The sequence below is a fragment of the Homo sapiens genome, chromosome 1 (genome assembly GCF_000001405.40).
Source record: "Homo sapiens chromosome 1, GRCh38.p14 Primary Assembly".
Taxonomy (NCBI): domain Eukaryota; kingdom Metazoa; phylum Chordata; class Mammalia; order Primates; family Hominidae; genus Homo; species Homo sapiens.
The window spans coordinates 243,155,488-243,178,780 of NC_000001.11; the positions used below are offsets into that span (position 1 = coordinate 243,155,488).

At 36.0% G+C, this 23,293-nt stretch overlaps 1 protein-coding gene across 27 annotated transcripts in view, besides 3 other annotated features; it reads right to left on the minus strand.

Moving 5' to 3' along the window:
• The window catches only part of CEP170 (centrosomal protein 170), a 131,358-nt gene that overhangs the window by 31,060 nt on the left and 77,005 nt on the right, over window positions 1-23,293 (minus strand). For 18 of the 27 annotated variants that reach the window (XM_047435483.1, XM_006711843.5, XM_017002951.3 and 15 more), the window contains 4 exons: window positions 17,210-17,359; window positions 14,141-14,267; window positions 8,797-10,629; window positions 734-968 (listed from right to left, as the gene is read on the minus strand). In XM_047435483.1, the coding sequence (XP_047291439.1) occupies window positions 734-968; window positions 8,797-10,629; window positions 14,141-14,267; window positions 17,210-17,359 (2,345 nt within the window). The remainder of the gene's footprint in view (window positions 1-733; window positions 969-8,796; window positions 10,630-14,140; window positions 14,268-17,209; window positions 17,360-23,293) is intronic. The other 9 variants (XM_017002949.3, XM_017002947.3, NM_001042405.2 and 6 more) reach the window with 1 other exon arrangement.
• Window positions 18,340-18,985: an enhancer, noted in NCBI's record as "NANOG-H3K27ac hESC enhancer chr1:243337129-243337774 (GRCh37/hg19 assembly coordinates)". NCBI's record gives its function as "activates a minimal SCP1, AML or CMV promoter by ChIP-STARR-seq in naive H9 embryonic stem cells {active_cell/tissue: H9 hESC(naive)}" and the evidence as "EXISTENCE:reporter gene assay evidence [ECO:0000049][PMID:30033119]".
• Window positions 19,925-20,625: an enhancer, noted in NCBI's record as "H3K27ac-H3K4me1 hESC enhancer chr1:243338714-243339414 (GRCh37/hg19 assembly coordinates)". NCBI's record gives its function as "activates a minimal SCP1, AML or CMV promoter by ChIP-STARR-seq in naive H9 embryonic stem cells {active_cell/tissue: H9 hESC(naive)}" and the evidence as "EXISTENCE:reporter gene assay evidence [ECO:0000049][PMID:30033119]".
• Window positions 20,626-21,324: an enhancer, noted in NCBI's record as "H3K27ac-H3K4me1 hESC enhancer chr1:243339415-243340113 (GRCh37/hg19 assembly coordinates)". NCBI's record gives its function as "activates a minimal SCP1, AML or CMV promoter by ChIP-STARR-seq in naive H9 embryonic stem cells {active_cell/tissue: H9 hESC(naive)}" and the evidence as "EXISTENCE:reporter gene assay evidence [ECO:0000049][PMID:30033119]".

Here is a 23,293-nt window from a genome sequence, read left to right on the forward strand (position 1 = left end):
AGGTAACATATGGTATACTGCAGTAAAATCTAACATCTCACAAACTTTAAACAAAAAATCCTTATATTTTAACTACTATAGTATCTGCTTGAGTATAATCTCTCTTCAAAGTTCAGCCATAGTAAGTTATTAATTTCCATAAGTTATTAATTAAAAATCATATCTGCAGCATAAATTTTTTTTGTACATAATCTAAAGGTTACTATAAACAGATTTAATCTTCAAAATAGTCATATTTTGTTTTACTTACTAAACGGTTGAACTGCCCATACTTAATGAGCTCATAAAGTATGAGTGAAAATCTGCTTACCCTAATTCTCTCCAGAGAGCAGTAGCCACATCTCTAAAAGGTATACTATTACATCTTTGGAAGTTTAAAGGAAAGTAATCCATAAATTGCCTGCAGTTCTTAATTATGTAGATCTGATACTGCCTACCTTTCAAAGTTTCACTTACTTATCACCATCTTTAAAAGAAATTCTTAAAAAGGGAGGGGGGGAGACAGAAAAGGTCAAAATAAATTAATTCTACAATATGTTAGTGGTATAGGCATAGAAAAAAAAGAAAAAAAGCTGGATAGAGAGTAATACTACTGACTAAACGGAGTTCACAGTTATCTGTGGATTTCAGTTCTTAGACTATTAGTAAAAATCAAGTACAAGCTAAACTTTGTTACCAAGTTGTAATGTTCATAGAAATTTTGAATTCTTAAAGATAAGTCCTGAAAACCAACCTGGCTATCTCTTCTCGATGAGCAGTCCAATCTCGGATGTAGTCTTCCTGCTCTTTAATCCGGTGTTTGAATGAAGAACTAGTAGGCATTGCTGATCCAGCGCTCTGCAAGCGAGTGGTTTTCAGGGCTGGAGAAGTACGTAGACGGGTATGTTTAGGGGAATTACGGTTTGATCCAAATTCATCTTCTGAGGTGGAAGCATAATCAGTAGGAAAGCGCCTCCATCTTGAATTTACTAAATTAGTTTAATTATTAAAAAAAGAATTATTATGTTATCATTTAAAGGAGGTAAAATAAAAGTCATGACTTCAAAACACCATGAGAGCGCACACACGGCACAATTTTCAATAACTGACGTACACATACCTCACAAAAACCATAAGTCTACTACTCCTTAGAGATAGAAACATTACACTTCGGTGAATTAAAAACAATGAAGAATCAAAAACAATTGGAAGACCATGTTTTCCATAGTGTGGTGAGTAAACATTCAGATGAAAAATTTCGCTAATGATAAACAACTAAGCAAGCTCTATCCATCGATGTTTAACTGGAGTACTTTTCAATTGCAAATATTTCTTACTTGAGTGAAAATATGAATTTTTCAAAAAAAAAAAGACAGTAACAACATCAACGACAACAAAAATAAAAACAAGGGAAAAGATTTCCTCATGCCACATGGACTTTCAACATGGAGATGGTAAAAACTCTCTTTTCCCAACATACAGATGTGCATAATTCCGGCTGTGGAAATTATGCCTTTATGGCAGAAAAAAAAACATTACCTCTGTCATTCAACATCCTGTTACGCTATGGTTGGAAAAAATCTTTTTACGTGGTAAAAAAACACAACAAAGCATCTTCAGTACAACTCTCTGCTGCTTTGACACTGAAAGCATATGGTGAAAATAGACAATGGCATAAAATCTACAAAAAGCAAAACTGTACAAGCTTTTGTCACAACCATTGACACTGAAGGCACAGGAGATACTGTGAAGAGTCACATTAAAGAAAGTGGCAATCACTTTCTTATTTACAGTTAGTAAAGACATTAAAAAATGGTATTGCTCACACATTTAAAAAATCAGAAGACAAGGCAGACACTTTACTACTGTTAATATGAGAATCAAACATACAAATAATTTGTGAAGCATAAATAGAGGTAAAAAGAGAGATAATGGCTAATTCCTGGTAAACCTAACAAGGGCAGGAACCATGTCTGTTTAATCCAATAATGTATACCTAGCACTTAGCTGAGTGTTGGCTAGCAAATGTTTAACAAATATTTTTGAAAAAAATGTAAGAATTCCTGGATGTAAACATTTACTTTTCCGAAACCTAGTGAAAAGCATTAAATGTTATTGGTGTTTAAAGTGAAAAAACCTTAGCATCTTCTTCCTTTTTAATAGAAACTGACCCTAAGCTGCACAGAATCCAGAAATTCCTCCACTCTAATTTTATGCCTTTTATGTCTTTTCCTCCAAAAACTACATTTTCAGCTGGGGATCTCTAAGGCTGAGGTTGCTCTCAGATAAAACTGGCATATATTGCCACCAGAACTGGCTTAAGAAACAGAGAACTCTACAACGAGGAATATGCCATAAATTAGAGCCTATCGATTCGTCCTTATTCACACCCCTATTTACAGATCCTGATGTTTGGAACTAGATTCATTCATAGGTATGACAGAATGAACATATGCAGAAAGTTCATGGCTCTCTGTAAAAGTGTATGCAAATGCATATACTAGGTAATTAGTCATAGACCTTTTTTGAGGAGCTTAAATATAATTTCTGATTTTAACACTGTAAGATAATTTATTAACATAGATAATACTTTTACCATGGTGATAATGTGCTCATTTCTAGATAAAAAAACTTCTGTGAGTTGAAGTGATCCTGAGACTTGAAACCAATTTTAGGAAAAGTTTAGAACAAGAGTAAAGAGGTTTAGAAAAAAATTAAGAAATACGGCAGGCAAAATCAGAAATAGTGTAAACAAATTTGTACGTTTCAAAAAAACATTTCATTAAATGCTAAATGTGTGTTTCTTGTGCTATCTTACAATAGTGTTCATAAATAAGAAAAAAATCATTTGTTACATCAAATGTTCTGATTTTTGATGAGGCAACTATGGTCACTATACATATGATTGGAAACTAGAGAGAAAAGAAAAGCAATTAACAAAGAGCTTTAATAACTGCAGAACATATGAAAACGTAAGTATGATAAAACTCAGACAGTTAATTTTGAGGTAACTTAGAAAGAATGGCATCGATGGCTGATACATTTCGTGGCAGACTACATGAAAGCAGAAGGAGAAATTGAGTACCAAGTGCTATTAATATACGTTAAATGTCAGGTGATCACATATAAGTAGAGCCATGCTAGAATCAACTTTTAATAGTCTGAGCTTAGGATCAAAATGCAATTACATTTTGAGGAAAAAAGTACGAGAAAAACTTCCTTTTCACAAACTTTCCATCTCTTTTCATAGGCTGGTCTACCTAGAAGTCAGTAAGAATAGTAAAGCTACTAATAATATCTTTTAAAAGCAATCAGGGGCCGGGCACAGTGGCTAACTAACGCCTGTAATCCCAGCACTTTGGGAGGCTGAGGTGGGAGGATCACAAGGTCAAGAGATCGGGACCCTCCTGGCCAACATGGTGAAACCCCATCTCTACTAAAAATACAAAAATTAGCCAGGCGTGGTAGGGCGCGCCTGTAATCCCAGCTACTCGGGAGGCTAAGAGAGGAGAATTACGTGAACCCTGGAGTCGGAGGGTGCAGTGAGCTGAGATCGCACCACTGCACTGTGGCCTGGTGACAGAGCCAGACTCCATCTCAAAAACAAAAACAAAACAAAAAGAAAAAAATCAAACGAATACAGCATATTTTAAAAAGTAAAAGGTAACATCTTTAGGTATGTTCTTTAAAATTGAGGAGGAAACTGGATAATCAGCATACAGCAGAGAAATAAAAATGTGATTAAAAATCATTAAGTAATTAAGAGCTCCCTTTGCCAGTGGAAAACATATCACACATGGGATGCTATGAAGAAAAGCTCCAGTTAACTCTGGACACAGTCTGCGTAACGACAAAGAGCAGAGCTGAGACTGAGTGAAATGATGGCTACTGGTGGAGAAGGGACTGGGAAAGGGAGTTCAATGCTAGGCCCTCTAACCTGTTATTTCTCAAAGAATTTATTTCAAAACTTTCTTTCTTAACATTTGCTTCCAAACTATAGCAGCTACCTAACCTTTTTTCTTCTAAAGAAAATTCCCTATCACCTGCTAATTAACACCAAATAAACTTCAAGTTAAAATATTTTAAATTTCCCCCCATCTACTTATTTCATAAAATTTTAGAAGAATGGCCTTTGACATGAGTCTAAATTCTTCCATTTAAAGAGAAGAAACAGGCCCAGAGAGGTCTTACCTTGCTGAAATCAAAGTATAAGCCAGGTCTATGGACTCCCAGAGTTCAAAACGAATTCTCTGTTATTCCAAGTGTTGTATACATTCTACATTTTTGTTTCCGGTTTTGTGTGTGTGTGTGTGTGTGTGTGTGTGTGTGTGTGTGTTTTTGAGATGGAGTCTCCCTCTGTCACCCAGGCTGGAGGGCAATGGCGCCATCTTGGCTCACTGCAATCTCCACCTCCCAGGTTCAAGCAATTCTCCTGCCTCAGCCTCCAGAGTAGCTGGAATTACAGGCACCTGCCACCATGTCTGGCTAATTTTTGTAGTTTTAGTAGAGACGGAGTTTCACCATGTTGGCCAGGCTGATCTCGAACTCCTGACATCAGGTAAACCATCTGCCTCAGCCTCCCAAAGTCCTAGGATTATAGTCATGAGACGCTGTGCCCAGCCAAGTTGTTTTAAAAAGACATCCTAAATTTCTCATGTAATGATAGTTTTTCTGATATCTACCTGTGTTGAAGAAAAAATTTATTTCTTTCTCTTGAATTTTATTCAGCTTAAGTAACAATTTATAAAAATAAATTTGATTTTCTTAATATATTATTAGGCTCATTTGATGGGTTGATATTACTAAGGCATTGGAAGGTGTCTGAAATGCCTATCTCTAAGAGACTTATTCGTTAGTAAAGGCCTAGACAGCATATATATTAAAATGAAAGTTCCAAGATGGGCTTGATTAAGCTTGTAGCTAGAGCTACAGCATTCATTACAAAATTTATTTTTTAATTATAAAATAGGCAACATTCCCTCTTGTGTTGTAGTACTAAACTACTATATTCACTACAAAAACATACTATCATTTATGATGTCTAGAGACTTAAAAAGGAAAAAAAGAGTTGTTAGTATCATATTTCTGTGAATGTTCCAATTTCTTTGTTGGCATTAAAACATACAACTATAGATTTTGCAAACACGCTTCAGAAAACACACATTGCATCTTCATACAATATCAGAATATTTTAGTGGAAAATTACCACAAACATGTTTTGAATGTATATTTATGAGCATTCAGCAATAAGATCAGCTGGGGAGAAAAACTGCTGACAATGCTCTGTTTTGTCCTTTGACCTGGAGAAAGAGTTAACTCAAGCCATGCATGTCTAACATTTAATTTCTACTGCCTATAAATTTTGAAGATTAGAATTAAAAAGGGACTGCAAACAGTCTCAAAAAATTCTAAGGATATTAACATAATGTTTTTATTTTCTAAAATGTGCACTTAAAACATAATGAAAACCAAGTGCTTTATTTTGATAATTCAAGGTCTTTAAATTTAAATATATCTTGCCAAAATAAATCTGGATATTTCAGTTACAACTTGATATCAAGAATCACTGAAGGAGACTGGGCGCAGTGGCTCATGCCTGTAATGCCAGCACTCTGGGAGGCTGACACGGGAGGACCGACCAGCCTGCCCAATATGGTGAAGCCTCTCCTCTACTAAAAATACAAAAATTAGGCGGGCATGGTGGCACACGCCTGTAATCCCAGCTACTTGGGAGGCTGAGGCAGGAGAATCACTTGAATCCAGGAGGCAGAGGTTGCAGTAAGCCGAGATTGTGCCATTACACTCCAGCCTGGGCAACAAGAGCAAGAGTCCGTCTCAAAAAAAAAAAAAAGAAGCACTGAAAGAATGTTTTGGGGAAAAAAAAACTAGTTAAACTCCTAGAAGCAAATTGCAAATTACATCAGAGAAACATACAGAACTCTTCTCTTCATATTGCTAAATCTGAGATTTCCAATCTTCTATTTTTATCACATACATTTCTTTAAAAAAAACTTTTTTTTAATGGAGACAGGGTCTCACTTGTCCAAGGCTGGAATGCAGTAGTGTGATCACAGCTCACTGCAGCCTTGAACTCCTGGGCTCAAGTAATCCTCTAACTTTGGCCTCCCCTAAAATACTGGGATTACAGGCATGAAACACTGTGCTGGCCTAAAAATATTTTAGAGACATCATCTAAAATATGGAATTGGAAACATTATGGAATTATTTTTACATATCCAATTGGGACAATATCACAAGTGCTAGGTTCAGATTATTTCCAAGGTCTTTAAAGTTTATACTGTGCACAGCAACACTGATCGGCATGATTTAACATTCTTTTAAATCATGTTTCAAAAGTTAAAATTTTGCTTTTCTTTTTCCATTCAAAATATTATAATTATCTTAAAAAGAAATGTTATAATATCAAAGGCACCAAATTAGCAAAATCAAACAGGTAGGTTTGTTTGTTTGACCACCTTTTCCATACAGCTATTATAGTATGTTCTCACTGAAGGAAAGATCCTGGCCACTGTCCTAGATAAGGTCTAATACTATAAGTGGGTATCTTGAGAGAATCTGAATATACAATCCTAGATTACAATATGGCTTTACACTCATAAGGTGGAATAGAGAATATAAACTGGGTAAAACATCAGAACTGCAAAGATTTTAGTAAACAATACCAAAACCTTTATATTGTATATTGACCTTGCATATACTCCTGATAATAATCCAGTAGATTCTAGCTGTCTTCTGGAAGCTTGCATACAAGTAAACACTGAAACTATTTCTTAGAGCTAGAATAGATACGGTAGAAAAACAGGCTGGGGATTAAAAGTCTTTGATTCTTATTCTGCCCCTGCCACTGCCATGTGCCCAGGGCAGGTTATTTCCTCTCTTGGCCTTGGTTCCCTTAAGAGAATAACCCTTCTAACTTTTAAATTCCATGATTCTAATTATTTAATATACTGCTAGTAAGTATGAAAAGACTAAAATCATATACATCAATGTGTCCTAGGGAATTTCATACACAATTCAAGGTTATTTTTGGACACAGAAAACTGAGTATTTATCAAGTTCTGTATTCAAAGAAGCAGAAAATGAAATCTGTCTTTATATATAGCATCTTACAGTTGTTTCTTAGACTTGCTGAAGTAATCATATTTAGCTTGCATCTCAAGCCTTATCCTAAATATCGAGGAATAAAACCACATCATGTGTTAAGAGGTACTCCAAGCTATCTGGTAACATAGAAATTATGTTAAGACAGGAAAATACATACATATCTTAATGGAGATGAGGTGATAAAACAAGGAGTACAGCAGAAGAAATTTCATCAGGAAATGCAGCACAGATGAAATGTGAATTGAAGTAGAGCCATAACCAAAAACAGAATGAAAATAAACCAAAATGTAGTAGTTAGTTTTAAAATATTTGGCAATAAATTTGTGAACCACCAACCAAAGCTTCAAGTGTGGAAATGAGGACTGGGGTAATAAGGAAAATGTTGTCTATTTTTTTTGGAATCATGATTATATGCTATCTGGCTTCACCCTACGTCCATTTCTACCATAGACAGTGACCATCATTACCAAACCCACTGACCAGCAAAGAGATACAGGTGAATGGAGTGGAGGAAAGCAGCAGTGAAAAGAGGAAGAAAAGTGAAAAAAGTATCATATGCAAAGTACTGTTCCTTTAGGGTCTTGTAGGAGATGGTGTGGTAGATGTAAACCAATCAAAAATAAAAAGATGAAATTTCATATCAACTTCCCCTCCACTCTTAACTCAAGACTTAGGGCTTACTTAGATGTCTGCCTACTGAAAATAATCACACATCTTCATGTCCGTTGTAACAGCTGGCCTCCCACACTGGCCTTTGCAGCCACGTCCACATATGAGGCTCATTATGAAGTAATGAGAACATGCATATAGGACACAAACAAATATCCACCTCATTACTCTTTGGTCACACATGTATCTCAATGGCCTCAGCTCTGAATACAAAGCACATAAGCAAACAAATATAACAGCATCAGTTAAATTCTGGTGGAAAGTAAGTAGTTTTTGTAGTTATTATATTCAATTACACCTAATTACTAGAGTTAAATGATATAACAGCACTTTGTGAGATAATGCTCATAACCAGTTAAATTTCTACAGCCCAGTTTGGCCAATATACGCTGAGTGATTCCCCATGAATCCATCTTCTTCCACTGAAATAAATTAAGGTTAGTTTTCACCTGCTCCAACTATAAACAGATTTAACTTTAAAAAGTATAGGTAAAGTATGTGAGACATTTCAAAATGGGTAGGGAAAAAAAAGAAAACATTGATTATTTCATTTAACTCTGAAAGGAGTAATAAAGCATATACTGCTTTTCTTCAAGTTCTTAAGGGCTTTGAATTATGTGAGGATATTTAAAGGTTAAACACATGCTTTTAGAAGCACAATGTTAATTCCTATACTTTAAACCAGATACTTCCAGATAATTTAATTTTGACACACACATCCAAATATAGCACCAACTGGAAAATTAAAACTCCTAAATCAGCTCAATGAATTCCTAGTTTTGAAATCACTATTTTGCGCCAGGACTCTAATTGGAAGTATGTATAACTTCTGATTTTCCATTTACTATGCTAAATAAAACTGTTTTATAGACCCCCCACCGCCGCTGCCCCGTATATCATAACTTTTGTTTTGAATGAGTATCTTGGGAAGACAACTAGAACCTTACTTTTTTTTTTAAAAAAAAAAAGGAGCCCCCAAATATACAACATGCTAATGCTATTAGAAATCTGGATCCAATTTACCTGAAGCAGAGCCATGAGCTGAGGTCATACTTTTGACCTTGGAGTCTGAGAGTCGAGAGATACTGTTAGCTCTAATTCTAGGAGAAAATTTATCTGATGGTACTAGTCTGGCTCCACTTCTAATGATGGCTTCTGCGGTCCTCGAAGAGGCACTACTTCTAGAAATTGTTGCTTCAGAGTCACTACGAGCTGACAGTGAGCCAAGTCGTGTTCTACGAGGCTGAGCCAATAAATCAATCCGAGAGATGTTACGCCTTCCTGTGGGAGGTTTTGATGTAGAACTTGTTGTGGATACTTCAGAAGCAACAGATGCTTTGTCAGCATCAGCAAGTTCACTGTCTGAAGCTTCACCAAGTCGTGCTCTGCGCAAGAGGGAAGTCCTGGTAGGTCGTGGCCTTGGAAGGGTGGTTGATTTACTAGATGAACCAGATACCACCGGAGAAGTCTTAGATTTCGTTACTTTACTTCCTTCCAGTTTGGAATGTACATGCTCATCAGCTGAGGTAAGTGGAGTCCGTCCATGAGGTTTACAAGAGTAAGTTTCTTGATCAGATGACATAATATCAGAGATGGCAGAATGAGGTACACTAGAGGTTTGGTCATCATCTGTTAAGTCTACTGAGGGCTGTCTTATTCTCCCACTGGACTGAACAAATTTACGACCATCTGCTCTTGAACCCACATCTGTGGAACGACTTTTTGTTTTCTTTTCCATTTTTTCCCTAGCACCTGAAGATGATGATTTTGTAACATCTTTGGAAGGAGAACCTGTGGAACACCTATCTTTATAGAGGCTAGTGAAACTCTTTCGCTTTTGGGTTGACTTTCTTTCAGTTTCTCCAGTAACCAGACTGATTGTACTAGCTGTATCTACATCAGATTCTGGTGAAATAGAATTGTCTCTATTATAACTGGGAGTATCTGGTCCTTCATCAGTTTTATTATCTTCACGTAGTTTAGCTTCTAGAAAAGCCATTACTGCTTCTGTGTCTTTTAGAATAAGGGTTGTGTCCATACTAGAATCAGGATCCAAAGACTCACTTCTTTCTCGTATTCTACTTGCAGATGTTAATGCTAAAGAAGAAGGAGTAGAGGAAGTCTGTTTATTTATATGGGGAATAAGTTCTATGGGTATGTTTGGGCTGGGTTTTTCTATAGTGAAGCTCCCTTGTCGCACTAATGACTTGGAGGATTCCTTCTTGTCTCCTCCCTTTGGAGTCTGACTTTTCAGAATTTCCTCAGCTTTTCTTCTCTTGCTCTCACTTTGTGCCACTCTGTCTCCTTTGCTTGTAGAATGTCCTGAATTTTTTTCTGGAGGTTGTGATTCTTGTTTAAAAGTTTCCTCCCTACATTTATCTGTCTGACCTGAAACATTTTTGGAAGACAATTTAGTAGGTGTCCACTGAGCCTCCTCCCTTTGTTCTTGTTGTTGAAGTTTTGCTAATGTTTGCTTTACCAAAGAAGTTTCCTTATCAGTTTCACTTTTCTCTTTTCCAGGAGCAGAGCTGCCTAAGTGAAGTAGGGTTTTATTATCTCCACCAGTTTTGAGAGTCTCTCCATTTACTGCCCTGTTCATTTTACTCAAGGGTCTGTCAGCATCTTGTTTATCTTTCTGGTATACCTGTGTAGGTGTTTCTTTCTCCTGAAGTTCTGTGTCTTGTTTTTCTCCTATCTCTGACCTCTGTGTTACAACCTTTGCTCTGTGGCTCTCAAGAGACTTTTCTTCATTTGGAAGCTGGGGAAGAGTTCGTCTCCTTCTCTCTCCCTGGCTAGCCAAGGAAGTTGCAGAGCCAGTACTTCTCACTGTCATGCCAGACTCACTGATCTCTGTCTCTATGAAATAAAAACCACAAAGAAGGAATTGATTAAGACAAATAAAATAAAAATAAAAGGAGCATCATACAGTTGTCTGTCAGTATCCATGAAGACTGGTTCCAGGCCCCTTATTCCCCCAGGATACCAAATCCCAAGGATGCTTGAGTACCTTATATAAAGTGGTATAATATTTGTATATAACCTACTCACACCCTCCCATATACTTTAAATCATGTCTAGATTACTTATAATACCTAATACAATGTAAAAGCTATGTAAATAGTTGTTATACTGTATTGCTTAGTGAATAAGTACAAAAAAATAAAGACTACACACGTTCAGTGGGGACGCAATCATTTCTTTTTCCCCTCTCAAATATTTTCAATCCTCAGTTGAATTCACAGATGCAAAACCCACTAATACAAAACCTATGGCTAGAGAGGGCCAGCTATATTACATTACATTTTGAGATGTAAGTTAAAAATGACTTAAGTATACAAAACAAACGAGCCAGCATTGTGACGAAGTAGTTTAAGTACAATTTCAAGCTGCACAAATAAGCAATTCCTAGAGAAGTCAGGAAGGCCAATTGTATGAGATGAAAATTAGAGTCATCTGATCATTTTTCTCCTTTCATATATTTAATTTTCTATTTATGAATTGACAAAAATTATATATATTTGTGGTGTATAACATGATGTTTTGATATATGTATACCATTATGGAATGGCTAAGTCAAGCTAATTAATATATCCATTACCTCACGTACTTATCTTTTTTGTGGTGAGAACATTTAAGATCTACTTTCAGCTATTTCAAATACCCAAGGCATTGTTATTAACTATAGTCATAATGGTATAAAAGGGTCATCTGATCTTAAACCTAAATATATTGCTCTTCTTTCCTCTTAATGTGTTTTATAGAAGGGAAGTTCACTGTGTTCATTCTCACTTTTGTAACTTTCCATCCTTGAGGTTTGCTCAAAAAACCAGAATCTATTGTAGATTTATACAGAGAATGTCAAATAAACATTGTTTATTTTCTATATTTTCAACTACATAGTAGAGAAGAACAACATAACTAGTTTTTAAAAAGTATTATCTACTTGAAAGAATGATAATTTTGGATTTCCTAAGTAAAGTGAAAAATGCAGAACTTTTAACAACATTTTAAAAAAATCTATAGCCGATTAAAAGAATTTTAAAAATTGTAAGTATGTAACAGCAGACTTTTCATAGTTAGGACATAGCAAAATTTTATAAATTGAGGAATTTTTAAATTATAGTCTTCTGGTTATTAATGCCACATATGGAAATACAAAATCCCTTTCTTTTTTTTCAAGTAGAAGCCAATGAGAAAATATATATTTTGATTTTTCCACCTGAGAGAATTTGAGAATATTTAAGGATTTTCCTGACTATTAAAAATGGAATGTATTTCTGAGAAAAGGGAAACATCTTTTCAGGGAAATATAAATTAACATATAAAGCTTCCTAATCTTTTAGGGATAAATGGAGAAAAGATACTAGATATAGCTTCTGTGGGTCTTTTTTTTCCTCTTTACAATCCTAAAAGTTTAGTATTTAAATATCATATCAATACAATGGATGTGATGGAGGAAAATCCATACTGAACTGATAGATTTAACTTTAGTCATTAATCATGTTATATCTTGTTTTGTTTCTTCTTTCATATATCTTATCTCCTTAGTGCTAACTGAAGCATCTAGAATGTAATGGCTACTTTACCCTTTTGTATTTTTCCAGTATTTCTCATACTGCCCCCTCCTCATATACATTCAATATGCTTAACAAAAACGTTTTATTATTTAAGTAGATTTATCAGCTTATGTAAATAAGTTCATTTAAATATGATGACATAGAAATGAGATCATGAAAGCTAAGTGGTCTATTATTTTTTATAACAAGGGTAGAACTTTGCTTTTCACAGATAATACTTAATAATTTTATAACGGATTCTTTGGTAAAGTTATCTAGCCTTCTGTCTGGTTTCTTTGTTTCCTAAACACAGTTTATACGAACCAAATGACTCTGTTCCCTCAAAAGAATTTTTGGTCATACTATCAATAACTTCTAGATTCTAATATAAATAAATGACGTAGCTTTTCTAGTACACTGCTATGTAGCTTCCTCAAATACTTCTAATACTTACAAAATTCTTAAAACAGATTTTTGGGGTGCCACAAGCCTGAGACAAAACAAATTTCCATTTTCAACCGGAATGAAATTAAGAAAACAGATAAAAGCCACATACAAAATCTCATTGAGGGTCTTTTTGCTTTTTAACTGTAAGTGAGTATTTATTTTTCAACTTGGATAAGTTTTTTAATTGTTTATTGTAAGTTGACAATTTATATTTGTATATGTTTATGGTGTATAAAATGTTGACCATAAATACAATGTGAAATAATTAAATCAAGCTACTTAGCATATTCATCACCTCAAAGAGTTAACACTTTTTGTGATGAGAACATCTAAAATGTACAATACTATATTATTAACTATATTCACCATGCTGTGCAGCAGACCTCAGGAAAAAAAAAAGCTTCTTCCACCTGTCTAAGTGAGATTTTGTACCTTTTGACCATCATCTCCTCATCCTCCTTTCAGGGTCTTATTGTTAATTAGAAAACTAATGAACAAAAAGTAATAATGAAATCCTTGAAGGTACACAACTTCATTTTGTTTAAAAAGCCTTTATATTTCTGTTCACAGAAATATAAAAGGTAATAAAAGTCATACTACATAGATTTGTAAGATTATTAACTTCTTTTTCACTAAATGTACCACATGAAGTAGGCACTCAATAAATATCTGTTGTATTTATGAATGAAATCGTTTGGACCTGTCTTCAGCTTATTTTTAAATTTTAACTTATATATATATAATATATATGTGCTTCATCTTTCTATGTAATATATACACACACCTATATATGCTTCATCTAAAAATTATTTCCTTATCTTCAGTTAAGTTTATACTTGAATAATAGCTGCATCATTAGTCAAAATCATATCTTAAGATATCAGCATATCAGAAAGAGTAGGAAGAATTTTCATTTAAAAGTAAAGACAAAATTTAAAAACCATTCTTATTTTCAACAGCAGAAATTTACAACTAAAATGAAAAGTGCCTCGGAATGAAATATTAAATCCAAGCTGGTGTCTGTCCACCTGTCCTTAGGAAGTCTCAACTTACGAAGTCCACAAAATTTCTCAAAAAAGAGTTTTATCACTTTGAATTTGTCCCCTGCTTAAAATCCCTCAAAATATACAATATCTAATAAAAATCAGCCTTTTACTTATAAAATGAATTCATTTATCAGCATGAGAATATGTGAATATGTTTATTTAGGTTTAACTTACTTCTTACTATATAGATTTGGCTTGTTTTTTATAATAACAACTGATATATGATTCACAAAAAAGCAGAGAAGAGTAAGAGAAAGAGAGAGAAATGGAGAAAGAGAAGAAAAAAGGGATAAAGAATGAAAGAGAGAAAGAGAATACCATTCTCTAAAGGAAGAGGTGCAGAAAATTCCATTATCCTTTCTTCTTGATCATGCCTTGTATGATTGGCAGCCAAACTAGCCCACTGTGAAACCCAACGTTTGCTTCCAGATGAAGATGTGCCTTCCTAAAGGAGAAAAATAAGAAAACAAAATCATGCAGCCTGGTCATATCTGAGTCTCATGAAAGACAATTTCATTTAGTCACATTAACTTGCCATACAAACCCATAATTAAACCTCACCTTGCTATATTATCATTGATTACATCTTCTCTTATATAAAATAAAAATTCTCTAGAAAATAAAGATCTTCTCTGAAAAAAACTATGTTACTAAAAATGACACCTCTCAATGAAAATCCAAGACAAGCCAAGGCTTCATATGAAAACTGTAATGACAACTAGGGAGTGGAAAGCTACGATGGAAACTTTATTACCAACTAGTCACAACAAATATTTTATTAAGAGTGTCAGATTTGGGCCGGGTGTGGTGGTTGATGCCTGTAATCCCAGTTCTTTGGGAGGCCGAGGCAGGTGGATAATGAGGTCAGGAGATCGAGACCACCCTGGCCAACATGGTGAAACCCTGTCTCTACTAAAAATAAAAAATTAGCTGGGCATGGTGGCATATGACTGTAATCCCAGCTACTTGGGAGGCTGAGGCAGGAGAATTGCTTGAACCCAGGAGGTGGAGGTTGCAGTGAGCTGAGATCGTGCCACTGCACTCCAGTCTGGCAACAGAGCGAGACTTCGTCTCAAAAAGAAAAAAAAAAGTGCCAGATTTAATACATTAATAATGACAAGCTAAACACTGAAGAAGTGAAGACTTCAAATAGATAAATCACTATAAGATTTCAAGAATAGTAGGTAAGAATAGTAAGTACAGGCCAGGTGTGGTTGCTCACGCCTGTAATCCCAGCATTTTGGGAGACCAAGGCGGGTGGATCACCTGAGGTCAGGAGTTCGAGACCAGCCTGGCCAACATGGCGAAACCTCGTCTCTACGAAAAACACAAAAATTAGCCGGGCGTGGTGGCATGCACCTGTAGTCCCAGCTACTTGTGAGGCTGAGGCAGGGGAATCGCGTGAACCCGGGAGGCAGAGGTTGCAGTGAGCCGAGATGGCACCACTGCACTCCAGCCTGGGTGACAGAGGGAGACTCCGTCTCAAAAAAACAGAATAGTAAGTATAGAGAATGACACACATACAGTGAAGCCTCCTAAGGATACCAAAGCCTGCTGCATCCTTAATCCCATCCAAGGTTTTCTGTTACCTGCCCACATTTCTGAGCAGTGAAGGTGGTACCAGAGCCATGTGGACCATGCTAAGAATACCAACAGTATGAGCGTCACTGACACACGCGTATGTAAAACCATTCTGTGAAGAGTGTTCTAAATGTCCTGTTAGGTAATGTTAGGTAATTCCTACAAAGGAACCTACCAGGGCTATAGCTTTTGCTTGGCAGGGGTTGAAGGAATAGAGAAGAAAGAAGAGAGTCTATTTAAATTCACATTTACCAAAACCATTCCTGGGTTACTCAGAATGGCATCATATTGCCTCAAATAATTATCACCTGCTTTCAATAAGTAAATTAAGTATCTCATAAAACAGAAACCAGAATAAAAATTCTCCCAATCACAGGGAAATAATGAGCACTAAAATACAGTAATTGCTTTGACAGTTTTCAGGAAATAGGCCATATAAAGAAACAATTTTAACATTAATAAACAAACAAACATATAGGTCTATTTACCTGTATGTAAGAAACAAATCTTATTTATACTTCATACAAATGTAACATTTTATTTATATTTTCTTTATTTATACCTTGATTTTCTTCTTTTATATTTTTTCTTCTTTTATTTCCTATTTTCTATTAATTTATATTTGTATATTACAAATTAGCTCATTTCCTGAGAGACAATATAGCATGAGTCAGAGAACGAAAGCTTCCATTGAAGGTTAGCTCTTATTATCTGAATAAATAATAATTAATACTTATGCCTTAGATACTTTTTTACATTTCTTTTTGACACATCAATGTGGTATGAAATTCTAATATCATTTCTGATAAAGGTAAAAAACATTTGTTAAGTGCATAAATCTCAGGCAAGTACTATGCTGGATGCTTTATATACTTCATTAAATTCTCTGTAAATATTTTATCAAAAATGCCATTTGTGTAGATGAGAAAACAGAAGATAAGGGAGAAGTGACTGATTCAAAAGCTTTGAGCTAAAAGTGGCAGCTCTGGGTCAGATCTTTCTAGCTCTACTATGCATACTGACTCTGTAATTATCTTAACCAAGCAATCCTTAATTAATTTCATATTATTCTAATTATATCCCGGGCTGTACTGTATTTGCAGTTACTGAGTTATATAAACTGTATCTATCAGGCAGTGCCCTCGTACATGTTTCCTGGTATGATATACAGGAAACATATACTTCTAAGAAAGTATAAGCAGGATATGTTTCTTGTTTTATCTCATAATGCCAATCAGAACCATGAGCATATAGCTCATTAACTGCTTACTGAAACCTAATATTTTCCTCATTGACAAATGAATATTTCTAACACCTAATAAAAATTAAAGTTGAATTACTGCAAAATTGCTTTAGGCTTTCATTAGAAAATAAATTTATAAAAATTTAGTTTTTAGAAGCATTTTACAAGGAGATACATTAATTGCTTAAAATAATGTAATTTACAAATGATAAGAATTCAGGCCAAGTGCGGTGACTCATGCCTGTAATCCTCGCACCATGGGAGGCTGAGGCGGGTGGATCACTTGAGGTCAGGAGTTCGAGACCAGCCTGACCAACATGGTGAAACCATCTCTACTAAAAATATGAAATTAGCCGGGCATGGCGGTGCACGCCTGTAATCACAGCTACTTGGGACGCTGAAGCAGGAGAATCACTTGAACTCAGACGGCAGAGGCTGCAGTGAGCCGAGATCCTGCCATTGCACTCCAGCCTGGGCAACAGAGTGAAACTCTGTCTCAGACAAGAAAAAAAAAAGAATTTATACTTTATGCATTCAAATAGGTACACAGAAGAGATGTATACCTCTGAGTGGTGAAATCCAGATGTAGTCAGTGGTTTTCTTTCTTCCATTACTGCTGCAGCAGAACTGAGAGCCCAATCTTTTATTAGATCTTTATGTTTTTCGTTGATAACAGGCCTATTATAATCCTGATTGTCATCTACTCCAAACACCTAGAGGGAAAAATTATTTTATAAATGAAAACGAAAAGTCTGAACACAAGATTAATATGTGAATAGTATAATTAACTTCAGAGGCAAATAAAAATATTCCAAATTAATTTTAATAGTTAATTTCAAAACTAAGGAAAACTTCTTGAATGACAGTAACAGCTAATTGTGATAGCTAGAAACGAAAGCAGGCAGTCACAGCTTATGTGAAAGTAATTATCCTTTTTTTTTTTTGAGACGGAGTTTCACTCTTGTTGCCCAGGCTGGAGTACAGTGGCGTGATCTCGGCTCACCGCAACCTCCGCCTCCCGGGTTCAAGAGGTTTTCCTGCCTCAGCTTCCCGAGTGGCTGGGATTACAGGCATGCGCAACCATGCCCGGCTAATTTTGTATTTGTAGTAGAGACAGGGTTTTTCCATGTTGGTCAGGCTGGTCTCGAACTCCCGACCTCAGGTGATCTGCCCGCCTCGGCCTCCCAAACTGCTGGGATTACAGGCATGAGCCAACATGCCTGGCCGAAAGTAACTATCCTTTTTTTAACATTTAGCAAATGTCCTGTTCGATTAAAAAAAAATATTCAAGACATATTTTATTTGTTAAAAGATTTAATAGGTCAGGCGTGGTGGCACACACCTGTAATCCCAGCACTTTGGGAGGCCGAGGCGAGCAGATCACTTGAGGTCAGGAGTTCCGGACCAGCCTGGCCAACATGGTGAAACCCCGTTTCTACTAAAAATACAAAAATTAGCTGGGCATGGTGCCATGTGCCTATAGTCCCAGCTACTTGGGAGGCTGAGGCAAGAAAATAGCTTGAACCCAGGAGGCGGAGGTTACAGTGAGCTGAGATCACGCCACTGCATTCCAGCCTGGGCGAAAAAGTGAGACCCTGTTTCAAAAAAAAAAAAAAAAAGATTTAATAATGTTGTTAAACAGTACAACAATGCAAAGAGTTAGAAAAAAGTATCTCTTCAGTTTCTTTTCAGCTTCTTTGCTCTATTATTTTTGTGACACTTGTTGAAAAACCATAAACATGTGGCTGATTTTATCTGTTCCTTCCCTAGCAAATGTTTACCATTTACACATCTGAGTTACATTTAGGCATGAAATTTTCTAAGATGCCATTTTATTGTATAATTGCGACATAGTAGATAGCATAATTCTCAAACTGTATTTGCCTAACAATCCCTTAAAGACCTTTGTTTGAAATGCAGATTCCAGGCCTATTTAAGATTAATTGTTTCAAAAAGCAAGTTGTCAATGTCCAACACTTCTGAAAAGTTCTAAATACAAAGACAAACAATGGCGTGCTTTTCTTTTATGGGCAGGACCTGAGTCTTACTCATTTCCTGGCACATAATAGGCCCTGGATGTCACAGAATAGATTGGAAAAATTTTAGGCATATAAATATTAACATTCTATTCTGCTATTAAATCTCCACTGTGTTCCCAATTTTTATTCTTTATAGTTATTGTTTGTGGCTCTGATTATTACAATCTAGAAAAATATCATGCATTTGAATGAGCAATTTGCAGACAGGATCTTTAGGATATAACCAGAGAGCCTTCATTTTCTATAAGGAGAAGCTACCTCAGGCTAAACTATTTTCTAGACATAAAGTTTTAATGGTCTTATAGTACAGCTATCTGATAAGCTCTAAAGTTCATATTTAGTGAAACAGGTATCAGACTTTCTCATTCACTAAAACTTGAAAATTTTACCACTAGATGGTCTTATTACTTAATATTTAATTCTAACATAACTATAATTGTCAAGAATTATGATTTAATATTCTCTTGAACTCCTCAATATTTAAATTATCTTTGCTTTAAGAGCAAATTATGTATTGTTTATTTTAAATCAAATATGAATTTTAATACATGGAAGCACAATGTACAGAAGGGAAAAAACAAAAACTGCTTCGTTTTGCTTAACATTAGCGTTAAGTTTAACAGCAGTGAAAAAACCAGAGTATAACCTGTGTCCTCTACCTTTAACCCCCACTTGTAAAGAAAGCAAATTATAGCTATTCAAGTTATTTGTGTCCGTCTTTAAAAAAGTTAATCACTCCTAACTCAAGTCACTGAACTCCAATTTTACTGAAGTTTATTTACTTATTTTATAATTACTAACAAAAATCTAACTCAGGTTTGAAAGTTAAAATAACCACATGAGTACTTGCATTTTTGCATCTCTTTGACATGTAATTTAGAAATTATCTTGAGTGATTTTCTGATGAATATTTCATTCTAATCCACACTAAAAACTTGATTTCCTCAAACATCTAAGCACCAGCAGTTTCAAATAAAATATCATGAACCTCTCTAAATCACTTCTGACACCACTTTGAAATGACAACAAAAAACACACGAACTAATCCTGTGAGGAAGGGGAGCTGAAGCCGGACAGAAAATACTTCGATGACGTTCGACAGATTCCTTTTAAAGCATCAGAGACAGCTATACATACATTATTAAGTAACAATTATTTCTTCTCCAAACAAGTGGTAGGGCCTGACCTACTACAGTGTGGGGAAAGAAGCCTTCAAATTTCACATCTGTTTTGATAGCGTTTTGAAAAATTAATGATAGCAATGACTACCAGCCCAGATTGAAATCCATATCTATGCGTTTCTGCCTCTAAGTAGAAACACATCCACCTGTGACAACTTTTATGTGAAAACAAATATATAAAGTTTATACTGTCTATATACTTAAAGTTAGTGTACTTTTCACACTTATAAAAGGTACCTACAGTCTGAAAAAAGAGCTGATAATTGTACAGAACTTGAGAGCTCCTCAAAACCAAGACCAAGTATGCTAGGTTCTCTCACCTTTCATTTTAGATTCTATTCCCAGGTGATTTCACCTAGGAACATGCAAGGCTTCACTTCAATTACCAACTATCTAGACTGTTGCTTACTGTCATCCCACCTGCTGGAAGGCTCAACAGTATTTCTTTTTTGTTTTTTTTTGAGACAGAGTCTCGCTTTGTCGCCCAGGCCGGAGTGCAGTGGCGCGATCTCGGCTCACTGCAAGCTCCGCCTCCCGGGTTCACGCCATTCTCCTGCCTCAGCCTCCCGAGTAGCTGGGACTACAGGCGCCCGCCACTACGCCTGGCTAATTTTTTGTATTTTTAGCAGAGACGGGGTTTCACCGTGTTAGCCAGGATGGTCTCCATCTCCTGACCTCATCATCTGCCTGCCTCAGCCTCCCAAAGTGCTGGGATTACAGGCGTGAGCCACAACGCCCGGCCTCAAAGGTATTTCCAACATAGTATCTCACCTCTAGGCTCATGATTCTCTTCTCTGGTCTGGTCTCAATCCAAATCCCAAACATGAGATAGTACAAAATCTAGGTCTTTCATTCAGCTAGGAACTTCTGTAGGCTAGAAGTCCACAGTGGGGAAGGAGATGAGACACCTAATTTTTATGCTTGCACCCCAAGTTTGCCAGTTTCTAATTCTTCCAGAGTAGGATCAAAGGAAGGCGGAATAGGACAGGAGGTGAAAACTCCTTTGTGAACTTGCACTTGCATGGAGAGCTGTCTGGGCCTGGCAGATGTTTAAAGACAACTCATTCGTACTGGGCGTAGGAAGTGGCTTTCACATATTCTCTCCTACAGTTCCCCCGATCCGAGTAGATACATCTCTGTGGAGTGAGCCACAACCCCTCTGCCATGGCCTTTAGGTCTGGGGTAAGAAGGCAGTACCTCCCTCCCTATCCCACTCCAACAATCATGAAACAATCTTTTCTTCTGAATACATTTGTATATTTGGCATTTCACTTTGGGATTTCAAATCCAAAGCTCAGTGGCTACTGTAAACAATTTTAACAACCTGTTACTGAGGAATGGCACTTACTCTCCACAGGCTACTTGGCTAGCCACTGCAGGGGATTACAAAATCTGTATGACAGTCTTTGCTTTTGAGGAGGTTACGTCTGATAAAGGAGCTTATAAAAAGAAGAGGCTGTCACCTGAAAGAACCATGCAGGAATATTCTGTAATTAAAACCAAATATCCATAAGAACCAAACGATATTTTTAGATTTTAGTTTTAAGTTTAAAGAGACTAAACATTCTCCAGATAACAAACTCGTACAATACAAACCAAACCTATGAAAAGTTTGACTGATTTTTTTCACTAGCATATTATGATCATAGTCATTATTATTGAAAAGCTCAGTCTGTGCAAAGATGCACAGTGTCCAATTCTGAAATCAGAATGGTGAGGATGGGGGATACAGGGTCAACTTTCATGCAGATAAATATCCTACCTATTGAATATTTGCAGAGAGGTCAAAATTTACATTTAGTAACATCAGATACGGGAAGCTTGCTGATTGTGACAGAAAATAGAGACCATTGTGAAAGAAGAGAAGCGCCGTGGGGTAAGATGTAGGCATAAAACTATAGTAATACAATGTAGAGCAAAATGATAATTCAATAGCAATAGTGCTAATTTATTAGTTTAAAAAATATCCAAATCAGTAGGAATTCAGAATTCATATTCCCACAGAAATGAAAAATATAATGGCAGATTAAACATCTAACTTCTACAATCTTATTTTAAAGTAACAACTGAAAAACAGTATTGCATTAGTATATCAATCACATCAAGGTGTCCAAGTAAAAATGTACTCAAGTTTCAACCTCAGATAACCAGAACATCTTCCTCCTCAATGAGCAAAGACTTCTTGGGTAAGGAGAGCAGGGTCTCTGTTGGATCAAATCAATAGTAGAGGTTCCCATGGCCCATGAAAATAATTTGACACTTTAAGAATTAAGAATTATGCAGAATTCTAGCCACTAGTGTCAAGGAACTAAATCAGGATGATTTAAGAGGGGAATTTATTTTTGTAATTGTCTATGAAAATCTAATTTTACTTTTAAAAAGAAAAATCCCTTAAAATTCCATGGAATAAGTTATTGTGAATATTTAACACTGTGATTTTTATCACATATTTGTAATCAACTTTTAAATTTAAAATTCAGACAAAATTATTAGAAGAGCACAGAAAGGGAGTCAGGAGAGACATTTTATAATTTATCCTGGTCCACAAATAAATATATGTGCATGCACATTCACAGCAGTGTTACAACAGCCAAAGGAAGAAAGAACACAATTATCCATCTGTGGATGGATGGATGAATAAAATGTGGTTTATGCACGCAATAAGATATTTATTCAGCCATAAAAAGGAATGGGCAGGGAGTGGTGGCTCGTGCCTGTAATTCCAGCACTTTGGGAGGCCGAAGGCGGGTGGATCACCTGAGGTCAGGAGTTTGAGACCAGCCTGGCCAACATGGCAAAACCCCATCTATACTAAAAATACAAAAATTAACCGGGCGTGGTGGCAAGTGCTTGTAGTCCCAGCTACTAGCGAGGCTGAGACAGGAGAATCGCATAACGTGAGCCGAGATCACGCCACTGCACTCCAGCCTGGGCAACAGAGCGAGACTCTGCCTCAAAAAAAAAAAAAAAAAAAAAAAAAAAGGAGTGAAGTACTGATACAGGTTACAACACATGTGAACCTTGAAAACATTATTCCAAGTGAAAGTAGCCGGTCACAAAAGACCACATATAGTATGATTCCATTTATACAAAATGTCTAGAATAAGCAAATCCATAGAGACAAAAAGTAGATTAGTGGCTGCCAGGAGGCTGGGAGAGGAAGGAATGGGAAGTGACTGCTTAATGATCATGAGATTTGGTTTTGCAGTGATGAAAATGCCCTGAAATTAAGATAGTGCTGATGGTTGTACAACCCTGTGAATGTACTAAAAGCCACTGAATTGTATACTTTAAATGGCTAAAATAGTCAATTTCATATTATATGAATTTTACCTCATATTTTCTTTAAATGGGACTCTATCTTCTTCTTCTTTTTTTTTTTTTGAGATGGGTCTTGCTCTGTCACCCAGGCTGGAGTGCAGTGGCA